Here is a 26,195-nt window from a genome sequence, read left to right on the forward strand (position 1 = left end):
TAAAAATGAATACTGCCTTTAAAGAACTTCCCTCCATCTTTGACTTCTGCACTCCTCACTCTGCACAATATTGTTTAGTAAATACTTTGTCATGTTAAAAAGAATTATGAGCAAGAAATAAGAACAGAAGTTTATGCATAGACACTGAATAAGCAAAGCAATGAAAAGCAAACAAAAGAACACACATCACTGGAGGAAGAGTTCTAGCAAATAGTTTTCCAGTTCCTGACAGCTTCAAGAACATTAGGTCACCCTGATATCTCTTTTGCATAAAAAAGGGAGCTCTGAGCTAAAAAGCAAGAGTTCTAGTTTAAAAAAAAGGAAAAAAAAAAAAAAAAAAAGAAGGTGAGAAGAGCTCAAGAAATAATCAAAGAAGAAATTTTAAGTAATATTGAAGTGGAAGACACATGAAAATTCCAGAAGTAGAATGAACTCAACTGAAAACATAGTCAAGGACAAAGCTGTGCTTGAGAACAATCACATTAGAAAATGTTTTATGAGATGAAAATAATTTAACAGAAAGAAACATCATCATATTACATGCCAAGAAATTTTTATATAGAATCAACAGCACAGATCCCAGTAAATTTAATACATTTCAGATGTGATAATAATAATGTAATAATAATAATAAAGTAATTTAGAAGGAAAAAATTCAGAGTTGCCTTATACTCCTCCACAGCAACATGTAATAGCAGAAGACAGTGGCATAATATCCATAATGTTTAAAGGGAAGAAAACTAGACCCATTATACCCAGCATAGCTTGTCTTTAGAAGATGAAGACAAAGGATCTACAACCTCAGACATACAGATATTCATCCTATGGCATGCATAAATCTTCCTTAGAATTAAAAAAACAGACACAAGACAAAGAAATGCACCCAATGAAGAAATGAAAAAGGAAAAAAAAAAACTTAGAGAAGTCTAGGAAAAAGATTGATTGGTAGTGAACATTAAATCCATTTAAGTATATAACTAAGATTACTAGCTCTGAGTATTACTATTACCTAGTAGAATAAAATATTATAAAACTTGACAATAAAAATAATACTGTAAATAAGAAAACAGGGAAATCAAGAATTCAAGAGATACTATGTGCATGGTGCGATCTTGGCTCACTGCAACCTCTGCCTCCTGGGTTCAAGCGATTCTCCTGCCTCAGCCTCCTGGGTAGCTGGGATTACAGGTGTGTGCCACCATGCCTGGCTAATTTTTTTTTTTTTTTTTTTTTTGTATTTTTAGTAGAGATGGGGTTTCACCATGTTGGTCAGGCTGGTCTCGAACTCCTGACCTCGTGATCTGCCCACCTCAGCCTCCAAAATGCTGGGATTACAGGCGTGAGCCACCATGCCTGGCCTATAATTTTTAAAAATATCTTCAATCTAATTTTTTAAAATAACATTTTCTGCCTTGAACTTTAGAGGAGATTTTCATAAGTGAAATCTATTTGTGTAAGGAAACTTAAATAAATTTTTCAGTTACTCCTTTAGTTTCATGTTAGGCTCTACTTTATAATACATTCAAGACAAGTGAAAATAATCCTTTACATTTTAAGTGGGCTGCATTGGACGACTCTGCTTTCATTGAGGGGATATGTATAGGTAATGATTAGTTTAAAGAAGACATATCTGTGATTTTTTTTCTTAATCAAATTTGTATCTGTTTTAAGAAGTGCACATGATGGAATCAAGTGGGCAATCTCTCAGAAGCCATAGGAGATGTGTTAATAAAATAGTAGAATAGGGATCAAATAGAATTAGATTGAAATTAAAATCTATGAAGGTGAAGAAGAAAAAAGAATAATGAATAAAAGATGAGGAAATGAGGAAAGATGTACTGTGCCTTAGGACTACTGAATACCATAATAAGCCATGCTCAGTAGTAAAAGAGAATGTCATAGGAAGTGTGTATTACAACTGTGAGCCCTACACAGCTCAACACTTATACTTGGTAGGTTTCTTATAACATCTGATACTAATACGCCCTTTGCATTAAAAATAAAAGTTTTTTGTACAATTAACCTTCTCAAATGTCATCAACAAGTCATCAGGACTGATGTTTAACCAAATCTGCTTCTACCTTTTGAAATTAAGATCAGCTATATTATTCTCTCAAGAGTTTTATCATTAGACTCTGGACTTGGATGTCTATCCCACTCATGGTTATAGACTCTGTGAAGAATATATATTGTGTAATTTTTGCATGTTTATTTACTATCCTTCAGAATCTGGCATAGTACTTGGCATGTAGTAGTGCTTAATAAGTGTTTGTGAATTGAGTTAACAAGTATTTGTGAATGATATGTGTATGAAGATTAAGCCCTCTTCCCAAGGTGCACCTAGGAAGGGGAACATCACACACCAGGGCCTGTCATGGGGTGGGGGAGCAGGGGAGGGATAACATTAGGAGATATACCTAATGTAAATGATGAGTTAATGGGTGCAGCACACCAACATGGCACATGTATACATATATAACAAACCTGCGCATTGTGCACATGTACCCTAGAACTTAAAGTATAATAAAAAAAGGAAAAAAAAATAAAAAAATATATAGTGCCAACTACTGTTATATTCTAGAGTGACCCATGCAGAATATGCAGAGGATGAGCTTAAAGATTATGTGACCAATAGCCCAATATTCACCTGGAGGATATAAAATGAACGAAAAGAAGATTTCACTCACTTCAGTGAGTGAGTGAAGCTTTAAGGAGACTGGAAACTGTAGGCAGTGGCTGACGCTGGCTTCCTCTCTGTTAAAGCCTAATAAGAAAAACTGTGCCTGGTATTTGCTCTGGTAATAGATGATGAGGGAGAGTTCTACTGAAAAATACCTGCTCTTCCAGAGTGCATTGGAGCATAGGATATATACTTCTAATGGGTCAGATGGTGGTCACTTGGAAAGAGCTGCCCAGGAGTCATCCAAAAGAGGTTGTAATTTTTCCCAAGAGAGATTTCTGGATGGGTGATGAGACCCCAGTAGAAAGTATCAATGAGGTCACCAGAGGCCAAAGGGAAATTGTAGGGAGTCCACCACAGGATACTGGAAGTGGGACACCCTGAGGTGATGGAGGAATGTCCATGAAGGACTTATAAACACATCTTCAAAAAGCTTCAGATTTGAACATCCATGGAACCCAGACTCAGATTTTAGATCCCATTATGCCCAATGGAAACCAATACTAGATGATTATATTAGCATTGAAAAAGGAACACTGTGATGGTTAATAATGAGTGTCAACTTGATTGAATTGAAGGATGCAAAGTATTGTTCCTAAGTGTGTCTGTGAGGGTGTTGCCAAAGGAGATTAATATTTGAGTCAGTGGACTGGGAGAGGCAGACCCACCCTCAATCTGAGTGGCCATCATCTAATCAGCTGCCTGCGAGGATAGAATAAAGCAGGCAGAAGAACGTGGAAGGATTTGACTTGCTAAGTCTTCCAGCTTTCATCTTTCTCCTGTGCTGGATGCTTCCTGCCCTTGAACGTTGGCCTCGATGTTCTTCAGCTTTTGGACTCTTAGAGTTACACCAGTGGTTTGCCAGGGGCTCCTGGGCCTTTGGCCACACATTGAAGGGTGCTCTGTTGGCTTTCATACTTTGAGGTTTTGGGACTTGGACTGGCTTCCTTTCCCCTCAGCTTGCAGATGGCCCTATTGTGGGACCTCACCTTGTGATTGTGTGAGAAAATACTCCTTAATAAACTCCCCTTCATATATACTATCTATCCTATTACTTCTGTACTTCTAGAGAACCCTGACTAATACAGAGACCTTTCCTGCCCTTTATTTCCCCTCAGTGTTCCAGTGAAATCCTGAGGAGCCAGAGGCAGCTTCCTGAATGGGTGAAGGGATAACAGCCCTCACAAGGAAAAAGAGAGAAAGGCAGCCATGTCCCTGTGTTTCTCCCATTTTTAAAACCATCAGATCTCATGAGACTCACTCACTATCATGAGAACAGCACAGAAAAGACCCGCCCCCATGGTTTAATCATCTTTCACTGGGTCCCTCCCACAACACATGAGAATTATGTGAGCTACAAGATGAGATTTGGGTGGGGACATACAGCCAAACCATATCATTCTCCCCTGACACCTCCCAAATATCATGTCTTCAGATTTCAAAACCAATTATGCCTTCCCAACAGTCCCTCAAAGTCTTAACTCATTTCAGCATTAACTCAAAAGTCCACAGTCCAAAGTCTTATCTACGACAAGGCAAGTCTCTTTGGCCTATGAGCCCGTAAAATCAAAAGCAAGTTAGTTACTTCCTAGATGCAATGGGGGTACAGGCATTGGGTAAATACAGCCATTCCAAATGGGGAAAATTGGCCAAAACAAAGAGGCTACTGGCCCCATGCAAGTTTGAAAACCAGCAGGGCAATCAAATCTTTTTTTTTTTTTTTTTTTTTTTTTTTTTTTTTTTTTTTTTTTTTTTTTTTGAGACGGAGTCTTGCTCTGTGGCCCAGGTGGGAGTGCAGTGGCGCAATCTCGGCTCACTGCAAGCTCCGCCTCCCGGGTTCACGCCATTCTCCTGCCTCAGCCTCCCGAGTAGCTGGGACTACAGGCGCCCGCCACCACGCCCGGCTAATTTTTTTGTATTTTTAGTAGAGACGGGGTTTCACCGTGTTAGCCAGGATGGTCTCGATCTCCTGACCTCGTGATCCGCCCGCCTCGGCCTCCCAAAGTGCTGGGATTACAAGCGTGAGCCACCGCGCCCGGCCGGCAATCAAATCTTAAAGCTCCCAAATGATCTCTTTTAGCTCCATGTCTCACATCCAGGTCACACTGATGCAACAGGTAGGCTCCCATGGTCTTGGGCAGCTCTGCCCCTGTGGCTTTTCAGGGTACAGCCTCCCTCCCAGCTGCTTTCATGGGCTGGTGTTGAGTGTCTGTGGCTTTTCCAGGCAAACGGTGCAAGCTGTCAGTGGATCTGCCATTCTGGGGTCTGGAGGATGGTGACCTTCTCCTCAAGGCTCCACTAGGTGGTGCCCCAGTAGGGACTCTGTGTGGGGGCTCCAACCCCACACTTCCCTTCCGCACTGCCCTAGCAGAGGTTCTCCATGAGCTCCCTGCTTCTGCAGCAAACTTCTGCCTGGACATCCAGGCATTTCCATACATCCTGAAATTTAGATGGAGGTTCCCAAACCTCAGTTCTTCACTTCTGTGCACTGACAGGCTCAGCACCACTTGGAAGCTGCCAAGGCTTGAGGCTTACACACTCTGAAGCCATAGCCCAAGCTCTACATTGGCCCCTTTCAGCTGTGGCTGGGGTGGCTGGGATGCAGGGCACCAAGTCCCAAGGTTGCACACAGCACTGGGACCCTGGGTCCAGCCCATGAGACCATGTTTTTCTCCTAGGCTTCCGGGTCTGTGATGGGATGGGCTGCCATGAAGACCTCTGACATGCCCTGGATGCATTTTACCCATGGTCTTGGGGATTAACATTCAGCTCCTCATTACTTATGCAAATTTCTGCAGCTGGCTTGAATTTCTCCTTAGAAAAATGGGATTTTCTTTTCTATCGCATTGTCTGGCTGCAAAATTTCCAAACTTTTATGCTCTGTTTCCCTTATAAAACTGAATGCCTTTAACAGCACCCAAGTGACCTCTTGCATGCTTTTCTGCTTAGAGATTTCTTCTGCCAGATACTCTAAATCATCTCTCTCAAGTTCAAAGTTCTACAAATCTCTAGGGTAGGGGCAAAATGCCACCAGTCTCTTTGCTAAAACATAGCAAGATTCACCTTTGCTCCGGTTCCCAACAAGTTCCTTATTTCCATCTGAGACCACCTCAGTGTGGCCCTTATTGTTCACATCACTATCAGCATTTTTGTCAAAGCCATTGAACAAGTTTCTAGGAGGTTCCAACCTTTCCCATATTTCCCTGTCTTCTTCTGAGCCTTCCAAACTGTTCCAACCTCTGCCTGTTACCTATTTCCAAAGTCGCTTCCGCATTTCAGGTCTCTTTTCAGCAGTGCTCCACTCTACTGGTACCAATTTAGTGTATTAGTCCATTTTTGTGCTGCTGATAAAGACATACCCAAGACTGGGCAATTTACATAAGAAAGAGGTTTAACTGGACTTACAGTTTCATGTGGCTGGGGAAGTCTCTGAATCATGGCAGAAGGCAAGAAGGAGCAAGTCCCATCTTATGTGGATGGCAGCAAGCAAAAGATAACTTGCGCAGGGAAACTCCCATTTTTAAAACCATCAGATCTCCTGAGACCCACTCACTATCATGAGAACAGCATGGGAAAGATCCAACCTCATGATTTACTCATCTTCCATTGGGTCCCTCCCACAACACGTGGGAATTATGGGAGCTACAAGATGAGATTTGGGTGGGGACACAGAGCCAAACCATATCATCATCTTTAAGGAGACATTATTAAGTTTATGATAAAGGCTCTGATAAAATGCCCATGCTTGGAGATGAAGTAGCCTTAAAAAATTGATTGCAACTTAATTCGCTCACTAGCACAAGAGTGTCCTTTGTAAAACTGAGCAGAAATCAGCTCCTAGAAATAATGAATGTTTATCAATTAATTGGATTGATGATTTCTTATCAGACCTTTCTCTGGTTGGATTATTTACTCTAGACACTCCACTGTTTGTTTATGTATTGCTAAGATTGCTATGATCATATTAAATCCCAAGTTTATTCCTCAAGGGATTTTATATCTGTTTTGTTTGTCTAAGAACTGTGACCTCACTTGAGTCATTTAAACAATTCATATTTCTGCCTTTCCTTTAATAATCTTTCTCTTAGTCATCCCTGATAAATTTGGGCTTGTTTGCTTTTCAACATTCTGCTTTTGATGCATCCCATGACACTCAAGCAGAGCAGTTTTCTAGAAATTTAGAACAGAGGGCTAGACTTCATGGGCAATGTTAGTAATACAGCAATTTTCTGTATGTTATTAATTTAGAGATAGATATATTTTAAGATAGTAAGTGAATAGAGAAGGAAAAAGGAGCACGGAAGGAAGACTAAACTTGAAAAAGAGGAATGAAGCAGCTAAACAGATGATCAATAATAATGATTCCAGTTAATGGCAAGTTTCATTAATTAAGTAATTACTAGGTTCCAGGCCCTGCAAATTGTTTTATCCACATTATATTATGTAATTCTCAATACAACAGTAAGGTATATTCTTTTCCTCATGTTACCAAGGAAACTGAGGCTTGGAGATGTTAAATCACTTGCTACAGGTCATACAGCTTTTAAATCACAAAGAAAATTAATCGCAAAGAAACTTAGTTTCTTTTCAACTTCGCAGTCTATTACATCTTTAACCACTGTGCTCTGTTGCCTCTTAAGTATGAGAATAAACCAGTAGTTCTTCACTTGGAGTGATTTTACCCCCAGAAGATATTTGGCAATGTCTGGAGACATTTTGGTTGTCACAGCTTCTGGGTGGGAGGAAAAAGGGGTGCTACTGGCGTCTACTGGGTAAAGGCCAAGGATGCTGTGAAACATCCTACAATGCACAAGACAGCCCCTACAACAAAGACATACTTGGCTCAAAATATCAATAATGCTGAGATCAAGAATGGAATGAAGTTACTGATCTTTTTAAAAATTATATTTTTATCTCATTAATATTAACACTAGTATGTCTAGAGGGACTGAAATTATACAAGGAAATGAGTTTGCTGTGCAGAAAGAAGAGGAAAAGGAATATACTTTGGAGTGGGACTTAGAGCCTTGGGAGGAATTTGCTGACCACAAACACGTCATTGTTAATAGTAAGTTCTGAGTTACCACTGCATGCCAGCCATCCTTTGCATGGGTGGTTTGGGGCCTACATAGAAAGAATTGGCCTTTGAATCAATACTCAATGATTGTAACAGATTTGCCTGTCTCCTGTGTTTTTGCTATTCTTTCTTTATGAAAAAAATTAGTGTCCATTTTAAAAGGAGGATCTGTTACCTGCTATATTTAGCGTCATGAAGGAGGAGAACTGCAATATTTGCTTTCCATAAATTTGCAAAAAGAAAGATATTTTCCACCCACCCCCACCCATGCAATGGTTTTCCACTGACAGCTGTATATATGGGTATCCTGCCATATATCTCTGGAGTGAAGAAGACCTGGGAGGCGTGGGCAGGCCAATGAATGGAGCCATTGACTCAGATGTTCCTCGATGGGCAGGCGTGATTATTTCAGGGGGCCAGTTCTTCCACTGTGACCGCATAGCTGAGGGCACAGCCAATGAATGAGCTTCACCCAATAATTTCTGGTTGATTCACATTTGGGTCAGTGATGTGGTGGGCAATGCCAGCTGCAGCCCCAGGCTCCAAGGGCAACTTTCCAAGCTGGGACTCCTTACAATTCTGCCCTGTTAATGGAGGTTGGGGCAAAATCTAGGGTGGGTCCCTCCAGGCATGAGTGAGTGAGGCGAGGGAAAAGAAGGAAATGGTTTTCATAAATTATTGCTAGAGTTTTTAGAGAAATAAAAGCATGGGTTTGAGAAGGAGGTGGAGGACTCTCAGCATCATGCCACTCCTATTGCTCTTCGGATAAAGTTCAAATTGCCTCATGTGGCCTACTAGGCCTGTCATGAGCAGGTTGCCATGCTATCTTTCTCTCTAGCCTCCCCTTAGGCTGCCGTTATCTTCAATATCTACCCTCCAGTCAGGCTGACCACGTTTTAGTATCTCTAACACGGCATTGTTCTCTCCTCAAAGTCTTTGCAAATGCTATTACTTTATCCTGGAAGGGCTTACTCTTCAACCCCCAACCTGATTAAATCCTTCTCATCATTAGGATATAGTTGGGATGTAACTTTCTTGACCTCCCAGACTAGATCAGATTGTGGTTACATGTTTCCATAGTAACTTGATCTTCATTGCAGTTATTTCAATAGCTGTGTTTTCCATCTGTCTTCCTCATGAGTCTGTGAGCTATAGGAGGGCCAGAAAATATCTACCTTAGTTTATCTTCCATACCTAGTACCTAGTCCAGCGCCTGGCCCGTAGCAGGTTTTACTGAATATAGTACTTAATAAAAAATAATAAGGGGGAGAAAGAAGGAGAGAAGAAAAGAAGGGAGGGAAGGAAGGAGGACAGGAGCAAGGAAGGATACATGGAAGAAAGGAAGAGGGGAAAGAAGTAGAAGAAAGAAAGAAGAAAGGGGATAATTTAATTTGTAAAACAAAAACAATTTCCAATCATCAGTTTCAACCTCTGGACTTATCTGTAAGGTGATGGCAGAATTGAAGTCTAAAATCTAAGTCTCCTGAATCTCAGTTCAATAGAACAAACAAATAAGTACAATAGATCCAGATATAATTCAGAGAGAGGTCAATTATCCTTGCAACTTGGAGGAAGTATACGAGTTTGCTGTTTCTCAGTGAAAGCCAATTCCCTGTCGTGGCCTATTGAGCAGCCACATGTTCTATCTGTTGCTATTATTTGGAGTATGATTAGAGGCACCAGGAAAATAATTAGAAACATCAAGAGAAAGATTAGGTGCATCAGAAGAATGAGTAGGGGCATTAGCATTGATCAAGCAGGAACTCTATGCCAAGGACTATGCAGGGCACATGAAACACATTTTCTCATGGCATCCTCACAAACCACACACTGAGGTGAGGATTGTTCCCCGCAGTGAGGCTAATGAGAAAATCAAGACTCAGAGAGTTTCAGGGTATATGAGGAGAAAGAATAATACCCTGGAGACCTGGATGCTTTGGTCACTTATTCCCTTTCCCCACCCCAGGCCTACCTGATGACTTTTACTTACACTTCACATTTGATTCAAATGTCACTTTTTCAGGAGGCATTTTCTTTTTTTCTTTTTTTTAATTTTACTTTATGTTCTGGGGTACATGTGCAGAACGTGCAGTTTTGTTACATAGGTGTACATGTGCCATGGTGGTTTGCTGCACCCATCAACCCATCACCTGCATTAAGTATTTCTCCTAATGCTATCCCTCCCCTAGCTCCCCACCCCCCAACAGGCCCCGGTGTGTGTTGTTCCCCTCCCTGTGTCCATGTATTCTCATTGTTCAACTCCCACTTATGAGTGAGAACATGCAGTGTTTGGTTTTCTGTTCTTGTGATAGTTTGCTGAGAATGATGGTTTCCAGCTTGGAGGGGATTTCTTACCACCCTCACTAGGTCAACTCCTCTCTTACAGACCTCCATTTCCTCTTTGTACTTGTCACTTCTAATCATGCATTTTTGAGTGATTAGTTGACTAGTATCTGAATGCAAGGCACATGTCTGCATTGGTTTGCCGTTGTTTTCCCAGCTCCTGAATAGCCCTGGCACATAACAGGTTGCCAATAACCACTTATGAGCAAATGAGTTAGATCATTTTGTTGAGCACATATTCTGTCCTGGGCCCTGTGCTGATTGATCTTGCTGTGTACAGTGGAAAGTCATACATGGTCACTGCTTTCAAGGAGCTCATAGTCCCATGGGGAGATTGTCTTATTTTTTTATGATATTACTATGTTATTTTTTAAAGATACTACTTTAAAAAATAAGAGAGTTAAAATGTTATTGGTAATAGGGGGCCCAGGGAAGTCCCTGGGTGGAGAGAAGGCAGAGATAGTTCATTTTACCTAGGAATGGGTTTCTAGAGGAGAGGGAGCTTGGTGGGAGCCCAGGAAAGTGAAAAGGTGTTTTTCAGGTGGACAAGGGTGATATGTAGTTAGGCAGAAGGAAATACAGATGAAGGGAGAAATATGAGCAGAGGGAAAAGAAAAGGAGATGTGAAACAACATCCATAGCAAATGGTTTGGTTTACCTGGAGCACCTGCTTTGTTCAGAGGCATGTCCAAGATTGCAGTTGAAGAGGTGTCTGTGGGTTAGATCAGGAAGTGGTTTTCATGCTTGCCTTGGGAAATTGAACTCTTAATAGTAACCACATGTTGATGGCTAAACACAGTTAAAAGGATATTGAACCATTCATCCATTATTTGAGTAAACATTTATTGGGTACTTACGTGCTAGCACGCTGAAAAATGTGGGTAGAAATAATACAAATTCCCTCCTCCAAGAAGCCTGCAGTCTATCAAATATGTAACAGCAGTCAGGCCCTGACTTCTACGTTAACTTGTAAGACACAAAAACAAAAATGAAGCAAACTGAAAGCAATCGGTCATCTTCTACTCAGCATACCCAGAGTGGGCTGATAGTGACAGAGTAGGCAATGATGAGGGATGTGAGGAAAGGAGGAATTACTGTGAAGGGAGGATACATAACTCCAGGAGCTCTTCCTGGAGAAAGTGGCTCAGAGGATAAATTCTGCAATGCAAAGAGAAGAATATGTTTTCAATGCACACATTTTTATGTTCTTAAATATCTGTTGCATTTCCCCCCCACGACTCAGGTCTAAAAAAGCTTCCCATCTCTGACATTAAGTGACCACTCCAACTTTATAGTCCTCCCACATCCTCCACCTAACTAACCTTTCTTGAACACCTACATTTTGCCAGGCACTTTTATAAGCATTTAGTTATAGTATTCCATTTACCCACTAACTTGTAAGATCTGTTTCATAAACACCATCTTGCAGATGAGACAACTGAAACCAGAAAGTGTTAGGTTGCTGCAAAAGTAATTGTGGTTTTGCATTATTGGAATTTGCCATTTGATATTGAAATACATTCTTAAATAAATGTGGTTATGTTATACATCATTTTAATGGGCATTTCTTGCTTTTATTTTTTGCTAATGACATTACTTGCTGTTTATTTTATGTTTATTTTAGACTGTAGAAATGATGTTAGACAAAAAGCAAATTCGAGCAATTTTTTTATACAAGTTTAAAATGGTCATAAAGCAGCACAGACGGTTCACAACATCAACAGCACATTTGGCCCAGGAACTGCTAACAAACGTACAGTGCAATGATGGTTCAAGAAGTTTTGCAAAGGAGACAAGAGCTTTGATGATGAGGAGCATAGTGGCTGGCCATTGGAAGTTGGCAATGGCCAGTTGAGAGCAATCATTGAAGCTGATCCTCTTACAACTACATGAGAATTTGCCAAAGAACTCAATATTGACCATTCTACAGTCACTCAGCATTTGAAGTAAATTGGAAAGGTTAAAAAACTTGCTAAGTGGGCCGGGCGTGGTGGCTCACGCCTGTAATCCCAGCACGTTGGGAGGCCGAGGCGGGCGGATCACGAGGTCAGGAGATCGAGACCATTCTGGCTAACAGGATGAAACCCCATCTCTACTAAAAATACAAAAAATTAGCCGGGCGCGGTGGTGGGCGCCTGTAGTCCCAGCTACTTGGGAGGCTGAGGCAGGAGAATGGCGTGAACCCGGGAGGCGGAGCTTGCAGTGAGCCGAGATCGCGCCACCGCACTCCAGCCTGGGCGACAGAGCGAGACTCCGGCTCAAAAACAAACAAACAAACAAACAAACAAACAAAAAAAAAACAAAAATTGCTAAGTGGGTGCCTCATGAGCTGAGTGAAAATTAAAAAATAGTCATTTTTGAAGTGCCGTCTTCTCTTATTCTACGCAACAAACCATTTCTCAATTAGATTGTGACATGTGATGAAACGTGGATTTTATACCACAACCAGTGAAGACTAGCTCAGTGGTTTGACTGAGAAGAAGCTCCAAAGCACTTCTCAAAGCCAAACTTGCACCAAAAAAAAAATCATGGTCACCAGTTGGTGGCCGGCTGCCAGTCTGATCCACTACAGCTTTCTTAATCTGGGTGAAAGTATTACATCTGAGAAGTATGCTCAGCAAATCGATGAGATGCACCAAAAACTGCAACACCTGCAGCCGGCATTGGTCAACAGAAAGGGTCCAATTCTCTACAACACCTGACTGCATGTCGAATAACCAGTACTTCAAAATTTGAACAAATTGGCCCATGAAGATTCGCCTCATCCACCATATTCACCTGACCTCTCACCAACCGATTACCACTTCTTCAAGCAGCTCAACAACTTTTGCAGGGAAAACGCTTCCACAACCAGCAAGATGCAGAAAAATGCTTTCCAAGAGTTTATTGAATCCCAAAGCATAGATTTCTACTCTACAGGAATAAGCAAACTTATTCCTCATTGGCAAAAATATGTCTATTGTAATGGTTCCTATTTTGATTAATAAAGATGTGTTTGACCCTAGCTATAATGATTTAAAATTCGTGGTCCAAAACCACAGTTCTTTTTGTACCAACCAATACAGCAAAAATGTGTTTTCATAAATGTTCTACAACAAAATCTAAGAACTTTCCAGTATATTGTATGGTATAACACACTTTCTAGTTCAGATGTCTGCAAACTAAAAAAAAATGTGATGATCAAAACCATTGAATGCTAGCAAAGGGATTACCCAATACTTGTCATCTCACAGCTATTCATTATTGCCAGGAAGTTCTCAGACTTCATGCAAACCTTACCCCCTCATCTTTCACATTAGGAAACTGAGGCCCAGGGAAATTCAGCACTGGCTCAGTGTGATGGAGAGTGTTTGTAGCCAGGCCAGAAGTGAGATCCAGGTTTATAGTTCCTCTTCTTATGATCTTCTCACTAACGTTTATAGTTCTAATGCTAGATTCTGATTCTTCTCATTTTATGTTCTCCTTGCAGTTTGTAAGGTGTGTTGGGAAGGGTATAGGTTTTGAAGCCATTTGGATCTCGGTCCAGGTTAGAGATCTACCACTGATTTACTCTGTGGCCAAGAACGAGCTTCCTCCTGGGTTTCAATGTCCTGTCAAATGGGGTAAAACAATCTCTCTCTAGTAGGTTTGTGATAAGTGTTAAAAAAAGTCACGTATAGAGTAACTAGGACAGAGTTCAACATATAATCCGACCTAATACATGTTCGTTTTTCAACTTCCCTTGCTAGGAGATGGAAGGAAGGTGAAATCTGCCACGATCGCTACTTTCAAAGAATGTGAACTCTCTTTGCTCCCTGCACCCCAACAAAGATTTCTCTCTTATCACTGTGACTGTGTTATCAGAGGGGGATAACATAGTGGTTGGAAACACTTCCTCAGACTGGAGAGACTGGCTAGGATTTGAAGAATGCCTCCCTAGGGTCTCTATGTCAGTAACACTTTATGTTCACCAGTGGAGCACACCAGTTACTTTCTGGATAGATAAAACAATTCCATTACTTACCTGTGCACAAAATGATTTCCGTCTTTGTCAGGGCTGAGGTGCTAGTTTTATGACATAAGGGAGGACTCTGATTCGAGACTGCTCTTTAGTCTCTTATTTCAAAGATAGTTTTTTTCTGAGAAATGGCAGGATTGGAGTGCGCCTTTTCATGGAAGTTCTTTTCTCTGAAATAATGGAAATTTGTAAGTCCCTATAGGAATGGAGTGGCTGAACTTCCAGATCTGAATTTCACTGAAGATGTTTCTGACAGACGTGTCCCTTCAATGGTAATCTTGCCTTCACTAGAGATTTGAGAAAAGAATGAAGCATGTTTTGCATTTTGAAAATAGAAACCATGGCACCCCATCTCTCTCTCTCTCTCTCTCTCTCTCTCTCTCTCTCTCCCTCTGTGTGTGTGTGTGTGTGTGTGTGTCTTTTACCTTGCCTGCATCTCCTTTTTTTATTTTTTAAAAATAAATATTTTTGTTTTATTTTGTTTTATAAATAAAAGTTTTATTTATAAAAAGTTTACTTTATAAAACTTTTTATAAGTTTTATTTATAAAAATAAAATGTTATAATTTCTATGTGTGCAAAAAAATGTATGCACCTGTATTCTTTATTTCCAGTGGAAAATGGCAAGATTCAGACAGTTTCCCAGATGTCTCCAAACCTACTTGTTCTAGAATCATGTAACACAATATATATAGACACAAGTAATATCTATTTTTTTTCTTTTCATGTACTTCTAACAGTCCACTTTTAAGTGCTCCCATGAGGCTTTTCTTGATTTGCTTTATTTTTCTTTTAAATAAAATCTTAAGCTGCCCACTCCAGTGATGAGGTACTACCTAGTCCTAGTAAGAGATTGCAGTGGGATCGAATGGGACAAAAACAAAGACCATGAAGCAGTAAGTACTTCCTAATTATTCAAAGAAGGCATGTGGAGCACTTGCCATGTGGCAGACACAGTGCTGGGAGCTGAAATTAGAACAGGGGGAAAAAAGAAAAGACATACTACTTGCCCATACAGTGCTAGCTTCTTAGAAATTTTTGGCTGAATTTATGAATGAGAGTATTTTTTCATTTATAAAATGTAAATAAAAGCAACCATGTACTAGGGCAGTTGTGAGAGTTAAATTACATGTATGCATGAATATGAGTAAATATGGCAAACTGGTTAGGAGGTCAGGCTCTGAAGTCAGAATGCCTGAGTTTGAATCCCAGATCTAAGCACTGAACTCTTTTTGCCTCAAGTTTCTCTTCAGTGAAGTGAGTGATATGGTTTGGCTTTGTGTCCTCACCCAAATCTCATCTCTAATTGTAATCTCCATGTGTTGAGGGAGGGACCTGTAATCCTCATGTGTTGAGGGAGGGAGGTGATTGGATCATGGGGGCAGTTTCCCCCATGCTGTTCTTATGATAGTGAGTGAGTTCTCGTGAGATCTGGTGGTTTTATAAGTGTTTGACATTTCCTCCTACACACATTATCTCTTTCACCTGCCACCATGTAAGATGTGCCTGCTTCTCCGTCTGTCATGGTTGTAAGTTTCCTGAGACCTCCCCATGTGGAACTGTGACTCAATTAAACCTCTTTCCTTTATAAATTACCCAGTCTCTAGTAGTACCTTTATAGCGGTGTGAGAACGAACTAATACAGTGAGGAAAATGCTATTAGTTGCTGTAAGGAAAAAATGAGATAATTTATGAAAAGCACTTAGTGCTAAGCACAGAGTAAATGCTCAATAATGGTAGTTCTTGGGTACATAGTAGATGCTCAGTTAGATTTTGTTACTAATTCACTGAAGCCAGAAGACAGAATTTTGCAATGTAAGTAGAACTGAACGTGTTTTTATATGTGTAGCTTTTCTAAGATAATTATGTTTGAGAGGTGTTGTTTCCAGTAGAACTCTTTAAATATTATTACACAGCTCTTGGGAACTTGGGAAAATTTTACTCATTATTCCAATACATCTCCCTGAAGACTGATTTCCACCCCCCACAAGTTTCCATGTTCTTCATGGGTCTGGAATTTAGTCAGAGAGACAGGCTACTTTTCTCTAACCCAAGCCTTCTCCTTGGGTGATTAAGCACGTAGTTTCATGGGAAGTTTAAGACCAAAGAATTATGGCATTGTCATGTCAGGCACTCAAGTGTCAGGGATTTGGCTTAAGTGAATTGATTACTGGAAACCCTTGAAACTTGTTATCTTTAAGTTGCTTCCAGCCCCTGTGACCAGAAATGCATGGCGACTCCCAATAACATCTGCCTTTCTTACAATCCCGCCCATACCAGTTCAAAGATCACATAGCTGATTCTTTTATTAATAAAATATTTATTGAGCTCACACAGCACCCTAAGCACTCTGCTAAGTGCTCAAGATTTAGACAGGAATAAAGTATTATCTCTGCTATCATGACTGTTATCTTGCAGTGAAGGGTTAGATAAGGAGACAGGAAATGTCAATAGATTATAACAAATGGGACAGTGGCACAGGGACATGTCTGGGACACATAAGCAAGGTTCCTGCCTCCTCTTTGGGGCCAGATTACATTTAGTGATGACTGTGAGAAAAATGTGTCAGCTGAACTGAGGTCTGAAGGCAGGGTAAATGTAAGCCAGGCAAAGTGGACATGGGATATTAGGATATATTTCTGCCGAAGTAACAACATATAAAGACCTAGGAATTAGCAAAAGCGTAGCACATACAGGAAACTGTAAAGAATGCACAAAGTCTTGTATACAAAGTTGGACATAGTGAGAGTTGAGGGTGGAAAAGCAAACCAAAGGCAAATCTTGTCCAAGGAATTTGAACTAGCTGAGTGCTTGGAACATTGGTACATCTTTGTTGAAAGACTAAATGGATCAATAAACTGTATTCTGAGGGAAATGAAGAGCCATTAATTCATTTAAATTAGCATCTGACTTGTGTTATATGATCATAGAATCTAGGTTAAATAATTCACCTGGTGCCTCATATGAGAGCTTGACATAGGAGGAACAATCTTCCTCTGTGTTGCAATCACCATAGCATGAACAAAATGGGAATATGGGGGAAACAGGAGAAGGAGACAAATAGAAGAGCAGTCATCCCAGGGAACAGACTAAATACGGAAGGCCTATGCCCAGCCCAAAGAAATGCAGAGATGGACAAGTCATCTCGCATGGATAAGCAAGCATTCATCCCAGGGAACAGACTAAATAAGGAAGGCCTATGCCCAGCCCAAAGAAATGCAGAGATGGACAAGTCATCTCGCATGGATAGGCAATAGAATGGAATATGTGTATTTAAGCCCCAGAGACAATGGCGTTCCAACCTTGCCTTTGTCCCTACCACCTATGGACTTTCATCTTTTTGAGACTAAGTTTCTTTATAGGGAAGATGTGATTTTTAACATCCCTGCGTGGAGTTGTTGTGAATATATAATAGCTTTATGTATAATGCATTTATATATAAAATTCTCAGCACAGGGCTATATACTTCTTCTGGGATACTCAGAAAAGATCATTTAAGATAAGAAGCCATCCTAAATTTGGATGTTTTCTAATATACCACTGAGAATAACTATATTTATTGAATGCTTATATTGTGTTATGTGCTGTTCTAAGATTTATAGTGACCGTGGATTTAATCCTGCCAAAGACCCTATAAGATAGTGAATTCTGTTATTCTCACTTTACAAAGAAGAAAACAGAAGCCTGGTGGAAATATGTATGAATTTGCATGAAGATGTATGGCCAGAGGTGGTGGAGTTGGGACTCAAACCCAGGCTGTCTGGGATTGAAATGCTTTCCTATATTGCTGAAAAAAAAAAAATGGCTGTACAGTAAATAAAATATCACAGTGTCATGTATGAAGTCAGTGGTTCTGGCAACCCTGATCTAATGCTGCATGTGGTCATAAACTGAACTCAGGGAAGTTGGAAGTTGAGTTTTGAAACAACTTTAAATCATCTTATTTAGCCCCTTAATACTCACATCAGAAATAATCTTATTTTGTGTACATTGTTAGACAATTACCAATAACCTAACTACGGTTTTGTCTAAGACACTGATTTGACTTAGTTGTCTGGAAGATTTAGTTGTCTGGAAATACATTGTGATATTGCATAAACTTTTAAAAAATCTAGTTAAGTATCGCCTTTTACACACAAAGAAAAACAGTTTTGTTTAAGGTGAAGAGACTTGCTGAAATGTTTGTAATCAGTCCATGAAACTGATTTCCTAACAAAGATATTTGGTGCCATGGAGTTTGAAAAACAGGGAAGAATTTTCAGGTATGATGCAGTCTTCATCACTGAACTCATTGTACTGTTTAGTTATATGTAACAGAAAGAAGTCAAACTTGCTTAGAAAATGAAGGGGAATTTATTTATGGTTGTATCCAAAATTTCAGAGGTAGGAGGAACTTTATGTACAGCTCACATCAGTGACTCAAGATTATTACCAAAAGACTATTTTGTCTTTTTCTTCTTTGTTTTCTATCCTTTTGTTATCATATTAGAATATAAGGTGGCTATACTAGCCAGATACTCCAGGTCAACATGCTTATTCACAGGCAGTGATCGAAAGAACATCGCTGGGGATCAGTCAAAACTGCCTGAAATGGGTATCCAAGAATGGTAGCAGGTCATTTCTCCTAAGGAAATTTGTGGAACTATTATCCTTAAGAAAGGGAAATGGAGGTAAACAGTAAACCAAGGTGTACACTGAAATCTCTTTCTAGGAGAAAAGAGTCCACATTCAAAAGTCCCAAGCATTGTCTGAGCAATGTTATGTGACTTCAATAAACATTTGCAACTTTGTATTTATTGGATTCATCGGTGGTCACTTAGCATGACTGAATGACCTGTCCATAAATATCTGAAGGTCATTCTCAGATCTTAGAGGAATATTAAAGTGTGAATGTTTTATTTCTAAGATTGGGAAACTGATGCTCCAGGAGAGAAAGTAACTTGTCTAAATTCTCCAGACCTGTAAACACAAAGCCGGCATGAGAACCCACTCTTTCTTACTGTCTCTCTGAAGTACATAGAGATAAACAAAAGAAATTTCAACTAATCATGACAAGTACCAAATTATTCAAGAGATTACCCAAACAACTTAGCTAATTCTGATGGTTTTAAACACTAAATCACAAATGAGGCAAGACAGGAGAATGTCAGAGGTGCACACATAACATGTTAGGCATGCATGGGAGCAGTAGCACGTTTGCGTTATTATTTGTTTACATGGCTTAGTATCTAAGGGACATGAAGTATTGTCATTTATCAGAGACTAGGTCTCAAGTTTGACTCTGGTTTAAGTTTTCCATAATCTGCTCAGTACATTTCTTCATTTAGGCAGCTCTTTCACCATGGTAAAAGCATCAGGTGACAACTTCCATCTGGCTGGTCCCAAGTTACTTTTCATGTAATTCATCCTTTTAATAAGCTATCTCCTGACATATTGGGTCCATCTTGACAAGCCATGTTTTTTTTTGTGAGACATCATTCTAATTATCTTAATATCTTAGAAGGAAGAACTCCATAATTATCTTTTATGGGAAGGCTCGAGACACACATTTGAAATTGTATGCCCAGGACTTTATGTGCAGAAGAATCAAGGTATAGTATTATCCAGTGTCTCTGGCAAGTTTTTGGGACTAAATTTCAGGCTACAAGATGTTTGTTGTTCATTGCAAAGGTCAGGTTTGACTGCGTTTATTAAATTACAAACTTGCTTGTCTTGTATCATCGGAAGATGGTATGAATTAAGGCTTTCTCATTCCAGTCACAGTACAGATTGCAGCTGAAAAACATCTAAAGGGATTCAAGTGACCAAGAACATTGAACAGAAAAACCATAACAAACAGTCCCTGCCCTTGGGGAGTCCCTATGCTATTTGATACAACAGAAAATGTACCATATGTTAAAATTTAAGACAGACCAAATATCAATCCCTTCCTCCAAATAAATCAAGCTGTCAGTAGATAAGACCTCCTGCCTCTAAACTTGACTCCTCCAGTTCCCACCACAATGATCCCGATCTCTTACTACTTTTGCAATCAAACAACTTCAATAGATTTTCATTGCTTTAATGATCAAGTTCAAATGCCTTAAAACAGTGGTCCCCAACCTTTTTGGCACCAGGGACCATGTTTGTGGAAAACAATTTTTCCATGGACTGAGGGGGGCAGGATGGTTTCAGAATGATTCAAGTGCATTACACTTCTCATGTACTTTATTTCTATTATTATTACATTGTTCATTAATATATAATTAATATATAATGAAATAATTATACAACTCTCCACAATGTAGAATCAGTGGGAGCCTTGAGCTTGTTTTCCTGCAACTAGGTGGTCCCATGTGGAGGTGATGGGAGACAGTGACAGATTCTCATACAGAGCACTCTACCTAGATCCCTCACATACACAGTCCACAATAGCGTTCGTGCTCCTATGAGAATCTAATGCTCAGGCTGTAATGCAGCAAGGGGGAGTGGCTGTAAATACAGATGAAGCTTCACTCTCTTGCCCACTGCTCACCTCCTGTTTTATGGCCCAGTTCCACATGGACCACTATCAGTCTGTGGGCCAGGGGTGGGGGATCCTTCAAAGATACACAGTGCCTCCCCTACCCTCATCTCTTAATGTTCTTTAAGGCCCCTTTTTACCATCATACAAAAAATGACTTAATTTTCTGTTACATGCTAAACTTATTCACATAGCTAAACTTTTGAAAATACTATTTCTTCAGTCTGGAATGTTCTACTCTAGTAGTCCAAGTAATAAAATCACCCTTTATGATGTAGCTTAATTATTGAAATCTTTGAGAAGGGTGAATTTTATGGCATATGAAATATATCTTAATAACGATGCTATTAAAAACAACAAAACATTGATGACTCTTTTATAAGAAACTTCCCTCTCTTAACTCATTCTACCATACAGTCAGGTACCTGAAAGCAGATATTAACACATATACATGTACATGCACACGATACTAGGTTAGGGACCAATTTTTTTCTCCCTTAAAACCCTGCATACCTACCTATTAACTGTGTTTATAGGTTTACTTGTTTATTTTCCATCTAGACTTGGAGCCTTTAATGTGGTAGCCATTAATAGCACGTGGCTGTTGAGCTCTTGAAAGATGGCTAGTCCAAAATGAGATATGCTGGAAATGTAAAATTCACACACAACATTTCAAAGTCTTGTTATGAAACAATGTAGACTGTCTCATTAGTAGTTTTATAGTGATTACCTATTGAAATTAATATATACATTGGGCTAAGTGAAAATGTTATTAAAATTAATTTCATTTTTTCTCTTTATTTTTTAAAATGTGTCTACATGAAAATTTAAATTTATGTATAGGGCTCATTTTATTTCATTTGGACAACACTGATCTAGACCGTGAGATACTTAAAGGTAGGGACAGTGTTTTATTCATCTCTGCATATAGAGTCAGGCCTGTGGTAGGTGCTCAAGGACTTCTCTGCATGAGATAAGTGACTGAATATTAAGTCCCAAATGAACAGTGCAGACACTGAGAACAATGGGACTACAAGGGAGAGGAAATGAACACTATTTCCATACAAGTCCAGGAAAATCTGTACAAGGGATGCAGAAGGCCTCGAAGCTGGAAACGAAGGCCTTGAAGCTAAATTCTTGAGTAGCTAAAGAAGAGATTGTGCCGTGCCAGGTGCGGTGGCTCACCTCTGTAATCCCAGCACTTTGGGAGGCAAAGGTGGGCAGATCATGAGGTCAGGAGTTGGAGACCAGCCTGACCAACATGGTGAATCCCCGTCTCTACTAAAAATACAAAAATTAGCTGGGTGTGGTGGCATGCGCCTATAGTCCCAGCTAATCTAGAGGCTGAGGCAGGAGAATCACTTGGACCCGGGAGGCAGAGGTTGCAGTGAGCCGAGATCGTGCCACTGCACTCTAGCCTGGCAACAGAGCGAGACTTCGTCTCAAAAAAAAATAAAAAAAAAAAGAAGAGATTGTATGATTTCTCCAAGTCACTGTTGGCATTCACGTTTCTCCTATGAAAATAAAAGGCCAGCATAAAATGGGCTTTGATATGACTTCATAAAGCTGATCTCATCATGACCACTCCAATGGGAATATTTATTTTACCCTTGATTTGGGGTTGCTGATTAGCTTCCAAAGTATGTAGAGGGTCCTGCCATGCCTGGGGTTTCTCTTAAGATATTTTATATACATGTGGTTGGTTCAGTCGAGGAGAGGCACAAAGTTAATCTAAGGCCTTCTCTATTCAAAACTGTCAGGTCCACAGTTTTTATTCATGGAAGCTTCTGTAGGCTATTCTATAGGTTGGTGCAAAAGTAACTGCAGCTTTTGTCAGTAAAAGTAATGCCAAAAAACTGCAATTTCTTTCGCACCAACCTAATATGTACATCTGAATGGGCTGTAAGCAGACATCTGCCCCTGGCAACAACCAACTGATGATTTTTTTTTTTTTTTTTTTGAGACGGAGTCTCGCTCTGTCGCCCAGGCTGGAGTGCAGTGGTGCTATCTCCGCTCACTGCAAGCTCCGCCTCCCAGGTTCACGCCATTCTCCTGCCTCAGCCTCCCGAGTAGCTGGAACTGCAGGCACCTGCCACTGTACCCGGCTAATTTTTTTTTTTTTTTTGTATTTTTAGTAGAGACGAGGTTTCACGGTGTTAGCCAGGATGGTCTCGATCTCTTGACGTCGTGATCTTCCCGCCTCGACCTCCCAAAGTGCTGGGATTACAGGCGTGAGCCACCGTGCCTGGCTGATGATATTTTATAATTAAATTAATCCATTCAGACAGACTTTCTGATATTCAGATTTTAAAATGCAAAAGAGGATAGGGCAGTTATTTGCAAGATAAATCTCTCTCAATAGTAAGTATAGTTTTGTATAATATTGTATAAAAACAATGCTAATAACAAAATGTATTGAAAATTCACTATATTGGACATTGAATGTTATTTACATTACCTCATTCAAACTCCACAAGAATAAAGTTTGGATTGCCATTCTACATTTACAGTTGAGTTAAGTGGCTCAGAAAGTGGAAACAACTGGGCCAAAGTGGAGGAGGAATTAGAACTCAAGTCTGTTTTGCTCATTTTTGCTACCATGTGAAGCTATCTTTAGGGTGTCAGCCATAAGTTTTGATCAGGTTGTCCTGCCACTGACTTGATAAATCAGCCCCTCAGGAAATAATCTACATGCAGAACTTCCAACTGATTGGAGAAAACAGAAGCTCAGAACCCTGCATTTCTGTCGCATACCATTCTTAGTGTAGAATTGGAACTTTAAATACTGGAACCCTGCTCTGAGACTCTGCAGGCCTAATCATCAACGCCTCCTCTAGGTGCCAGCCATAGAAGGACCACGTTGGGTCTGGCCCTTATTTCAGGGAAAAGGAGACTTTCTGCCCAGTCTCCAGGCTGCTGAATCAGCCTCTTTCTTCCTTTGGCTTTCAGAATTTACTTTCAACCCTTTATTTTTCAGTTTGATGGCCTCACACAGACTGACTTTTGTGAATTGACAGAGATAAAAGAAAATAAAAACCTGGTTATGAACCACTGAGTCTATAAACTGGATACTTTCCTAGATGTGTGGAAAATATAACAGTGCTAGTTTTTTTTTTTTGTTGTTCCTCTTGGACTGTGAGTACAAGGCTCCTTCTTTGAGAATGAGCAGGAATGCCTATAAGGAGTTTTCTTTTTATTTTCCCTGACTCCACTTTTTGTTTCTGGATTATGATTTATATCAGAAAACATTTCCTATGGTTTGGAGATATTTTTAGAAGTCTGAGGGTGGTCTCAGGAAAAATGGAAAATACTCTGTTATTTGTTTCTTTATCTTCCAACTTCTCTCTTTAGGTTCCAATCCGGACCTTGCCCTCAGTCTTACTCCTTTCACTGTCCGAGCCAATCTTTTGTCCCTTGTTTATTTCTGTAGGGAAACACCCAATGCAGGAGGTGATAGCTCTGGAATTTGTCATTGATAAGCCACCTCCTTCCAGAAATCACAAATTCATTCTGACTGAACCCTTTTTTGCTTTAAATCAGAGGAGCGGTAATTTCTAGTTTGAAAGTGACAGACACATGTGGATGGTATCCTTGGGAAGAGGAGGAAGAGCAGCACTACAGTGTTATTTTACAGACAGCGTCCTACCTCATCTATGGGCACAGAAAGGCAAGGGAGATCCTTATTTTATACCTCTATGAGAAGGTAGTCTTTTAGCATTGCAGAGATCCTGAACCGATACTTTAGGTGATATGAAATGTCAATCATACAGCACCCCTGATGAAAAACCACTGGGCCTAGAAACTTTGAATACTTATGGTGCTGAATAACTCATTACTTTGGAAAGTTTGCTGTTATTATCTTGTGCTTCTTATCATCAAATATGTTCTCAGGGCCCATTGAGTGCTAGGAAGATCTTGAATCATTTGGAGAAAATGCAGCACTGTGTATTGGTCTCCAGACAGGTTATATTCCTGGCTGAGGTCACAACGTCTGGTGCAAAACTGAATAATGCGAGGGTGATATGGGATTCGTAAGCATTTTTACACTCCTGCTAGGACAAGAGAGGGTTTTGGAGATACAGATTCAAAGACAATTATACGTGAAACAGCAAAGTCTGATAGTTGAGGACATGGCCTCAGGATTCAGAGTTCACTACTTATTATCTACATAAAGTTGACCAGCTTACTTAATCTCCATGAGCCTTGGTTTCTCCATTTGTAACATGGGGCTCACAGAAGTATTTGCTTCATAGGGGTGTTGAGAAAATGAAATCACTTAATACATGCAAAATATTGAGAATACTGCCTGGCATATAGTAAAAAAGAGCTCAGTAAACTTAAGCCATTATTGTTATGACCCTGACTCAAGCATGTGTTGAGAAATCCTGAATCAAGTGTAGTATCATCATAGAGGAATGGAACACTTGTTTGTTAAATCTTTGCACTTGCAAGATTTTTAGTGGACACTAAGTTCTTTACTTTTACAGTCTCATTTGCTCTTTTCTAAAATCCTGTTGTCTGGGCACATCTTAATGTTTCCCATATTACAGATGGGAGACTTGTAGCTCAAAGAGGTCAGACATTTTTTCCCAAGGCCTCAGCTTAAATGTCACACCTTCAGAGATAGATGCCTTCTCAAAGCACTCAATATAAAACAGTCACCCACTCCCGTTTTACATTTACTCTAAGATTATCATCTGCATGTTATTCACTATTAGCTGGCATTTTTGTCATATTCCTGTGTGCGACTGTGCTTATTTTATGCCTTTTCCCAGCTAGAACACAAGCTTTCTGAGGATAGGAACCTTTCTTGTCTTGGCACAGAACCAATCTCCAGCATTTAATATGTTGCAAATCTTTGGTAAACATTTGCTGAAGGAGTAAATGAAGGACACTAGAAGGAGAACAGAATAGAACAATTATTCTGTAAGAAAAACAGAAGGAGCTGTCTTTGCTTTCCAATGCTATCCCCAACTTCATGACCTTGGGCAACTGATTTCCTGTCTCTAAATTAGGGAAATGAGAATAGTAACCTCTACTTCCTTACAGCTATGATGAGGAAAAATAAAATAAAATTTAAAAATCACTTAGCATAGTGCCTGCGCATACCAAGGGCAAAATAAATGCTGGCTTTTGTCATTGGAGGAGGCAGGATTTGTGAGGTTTGTTTGAGAGTCTTTCCTGCTATGTTCTATGCTTATATAGGAAATTATGAATAATAACTTTGATGAGAACAGAAAAGTTCAATAAAACCATCATCTCTTTGTTCCATTTGGTTACTTCAAATTTGACAATTATCTTTTAATGGAGAACTGAACTAAATGTTCTCATTATTTTCTTTCCAGACTAAATGCTCCTTCTTAAACTAAGTCTCCCAATCCCACCTCATATGTAACTATTTTATTTCTTCCCACAAGCTCAAGGAATGTAAAAAAAAAAAAACGAATCTTAAGATGTTAAGCTTAGTGGAAATGCAGGAAGGGCTTACAGGTTGGTTGCCTGGTGCAATTTTCTGTCATGCAGGGAAACCAAGACTGAGAGAGGGAAATGGATTCACCTCCTGACACAGTGGACAAGCCAGGACTTGAACCCAGGTC

At 39.9% G+C, this 26,195-nt stretch overlaps 2 long non-coding RNA genes across 4 annotated transcripts in view; one reads left to right on the forward strand and one right to left on the reverse strand.

The window, feature by feature from the left end:
• DELEC1 (deleted in esophageal cancer 1) overlaps window positions 1–26,195 on the forward strand; it is a 260,827-nt gene that overhangs the window by 201,170 nt on the left and 33,462 nt on the right. The gene's annotated exons all lie outside the window — the stretch shown is intronic.
• On the reverse strand, window positions 11,185–25,442 carry LOC105376232 (uncharacterized). Of its 3 annotated transcripts, XR_930265.3 has the most exons (4): window positions 23,057–23,429; window positions 21,116–21,241; window positions 14,104–14,267; window positions 11,185–11,258 (listed from the first exon to the last, which is right to left on the reverse strand). It is a non-coding gene; the product is annotated as an uncharacterized LOC105376232 (long non-coding RNA). The 3 variants fall into 3 exon arrangements; XR_930266.2 differs by lacking the exons at window positions 11,185–11,258; window positions 14,104–14,267; window positions 23,057–23,429 and adding exons at window positions 19,768–19,882; window positions 24,786–25,442; XR_930264.2 differs by lacking the exons at window positions 11,185–11,258; window positions 14,104–14,267 and adding an exon at window positions 19,768–19,882.

The sequence above is a fragment of the Homo sapiens genome, chromosome 9 (genome assembly GCF_000001405.40).
Source record: "Homo sapiens chromosome 9, GRCh38.p14 Primary Assembly".
NCBI lineage: Eukaryota > Metazoa > Chordata > Mammalia > Primates > Hominidae > Homo > Homo sapiens.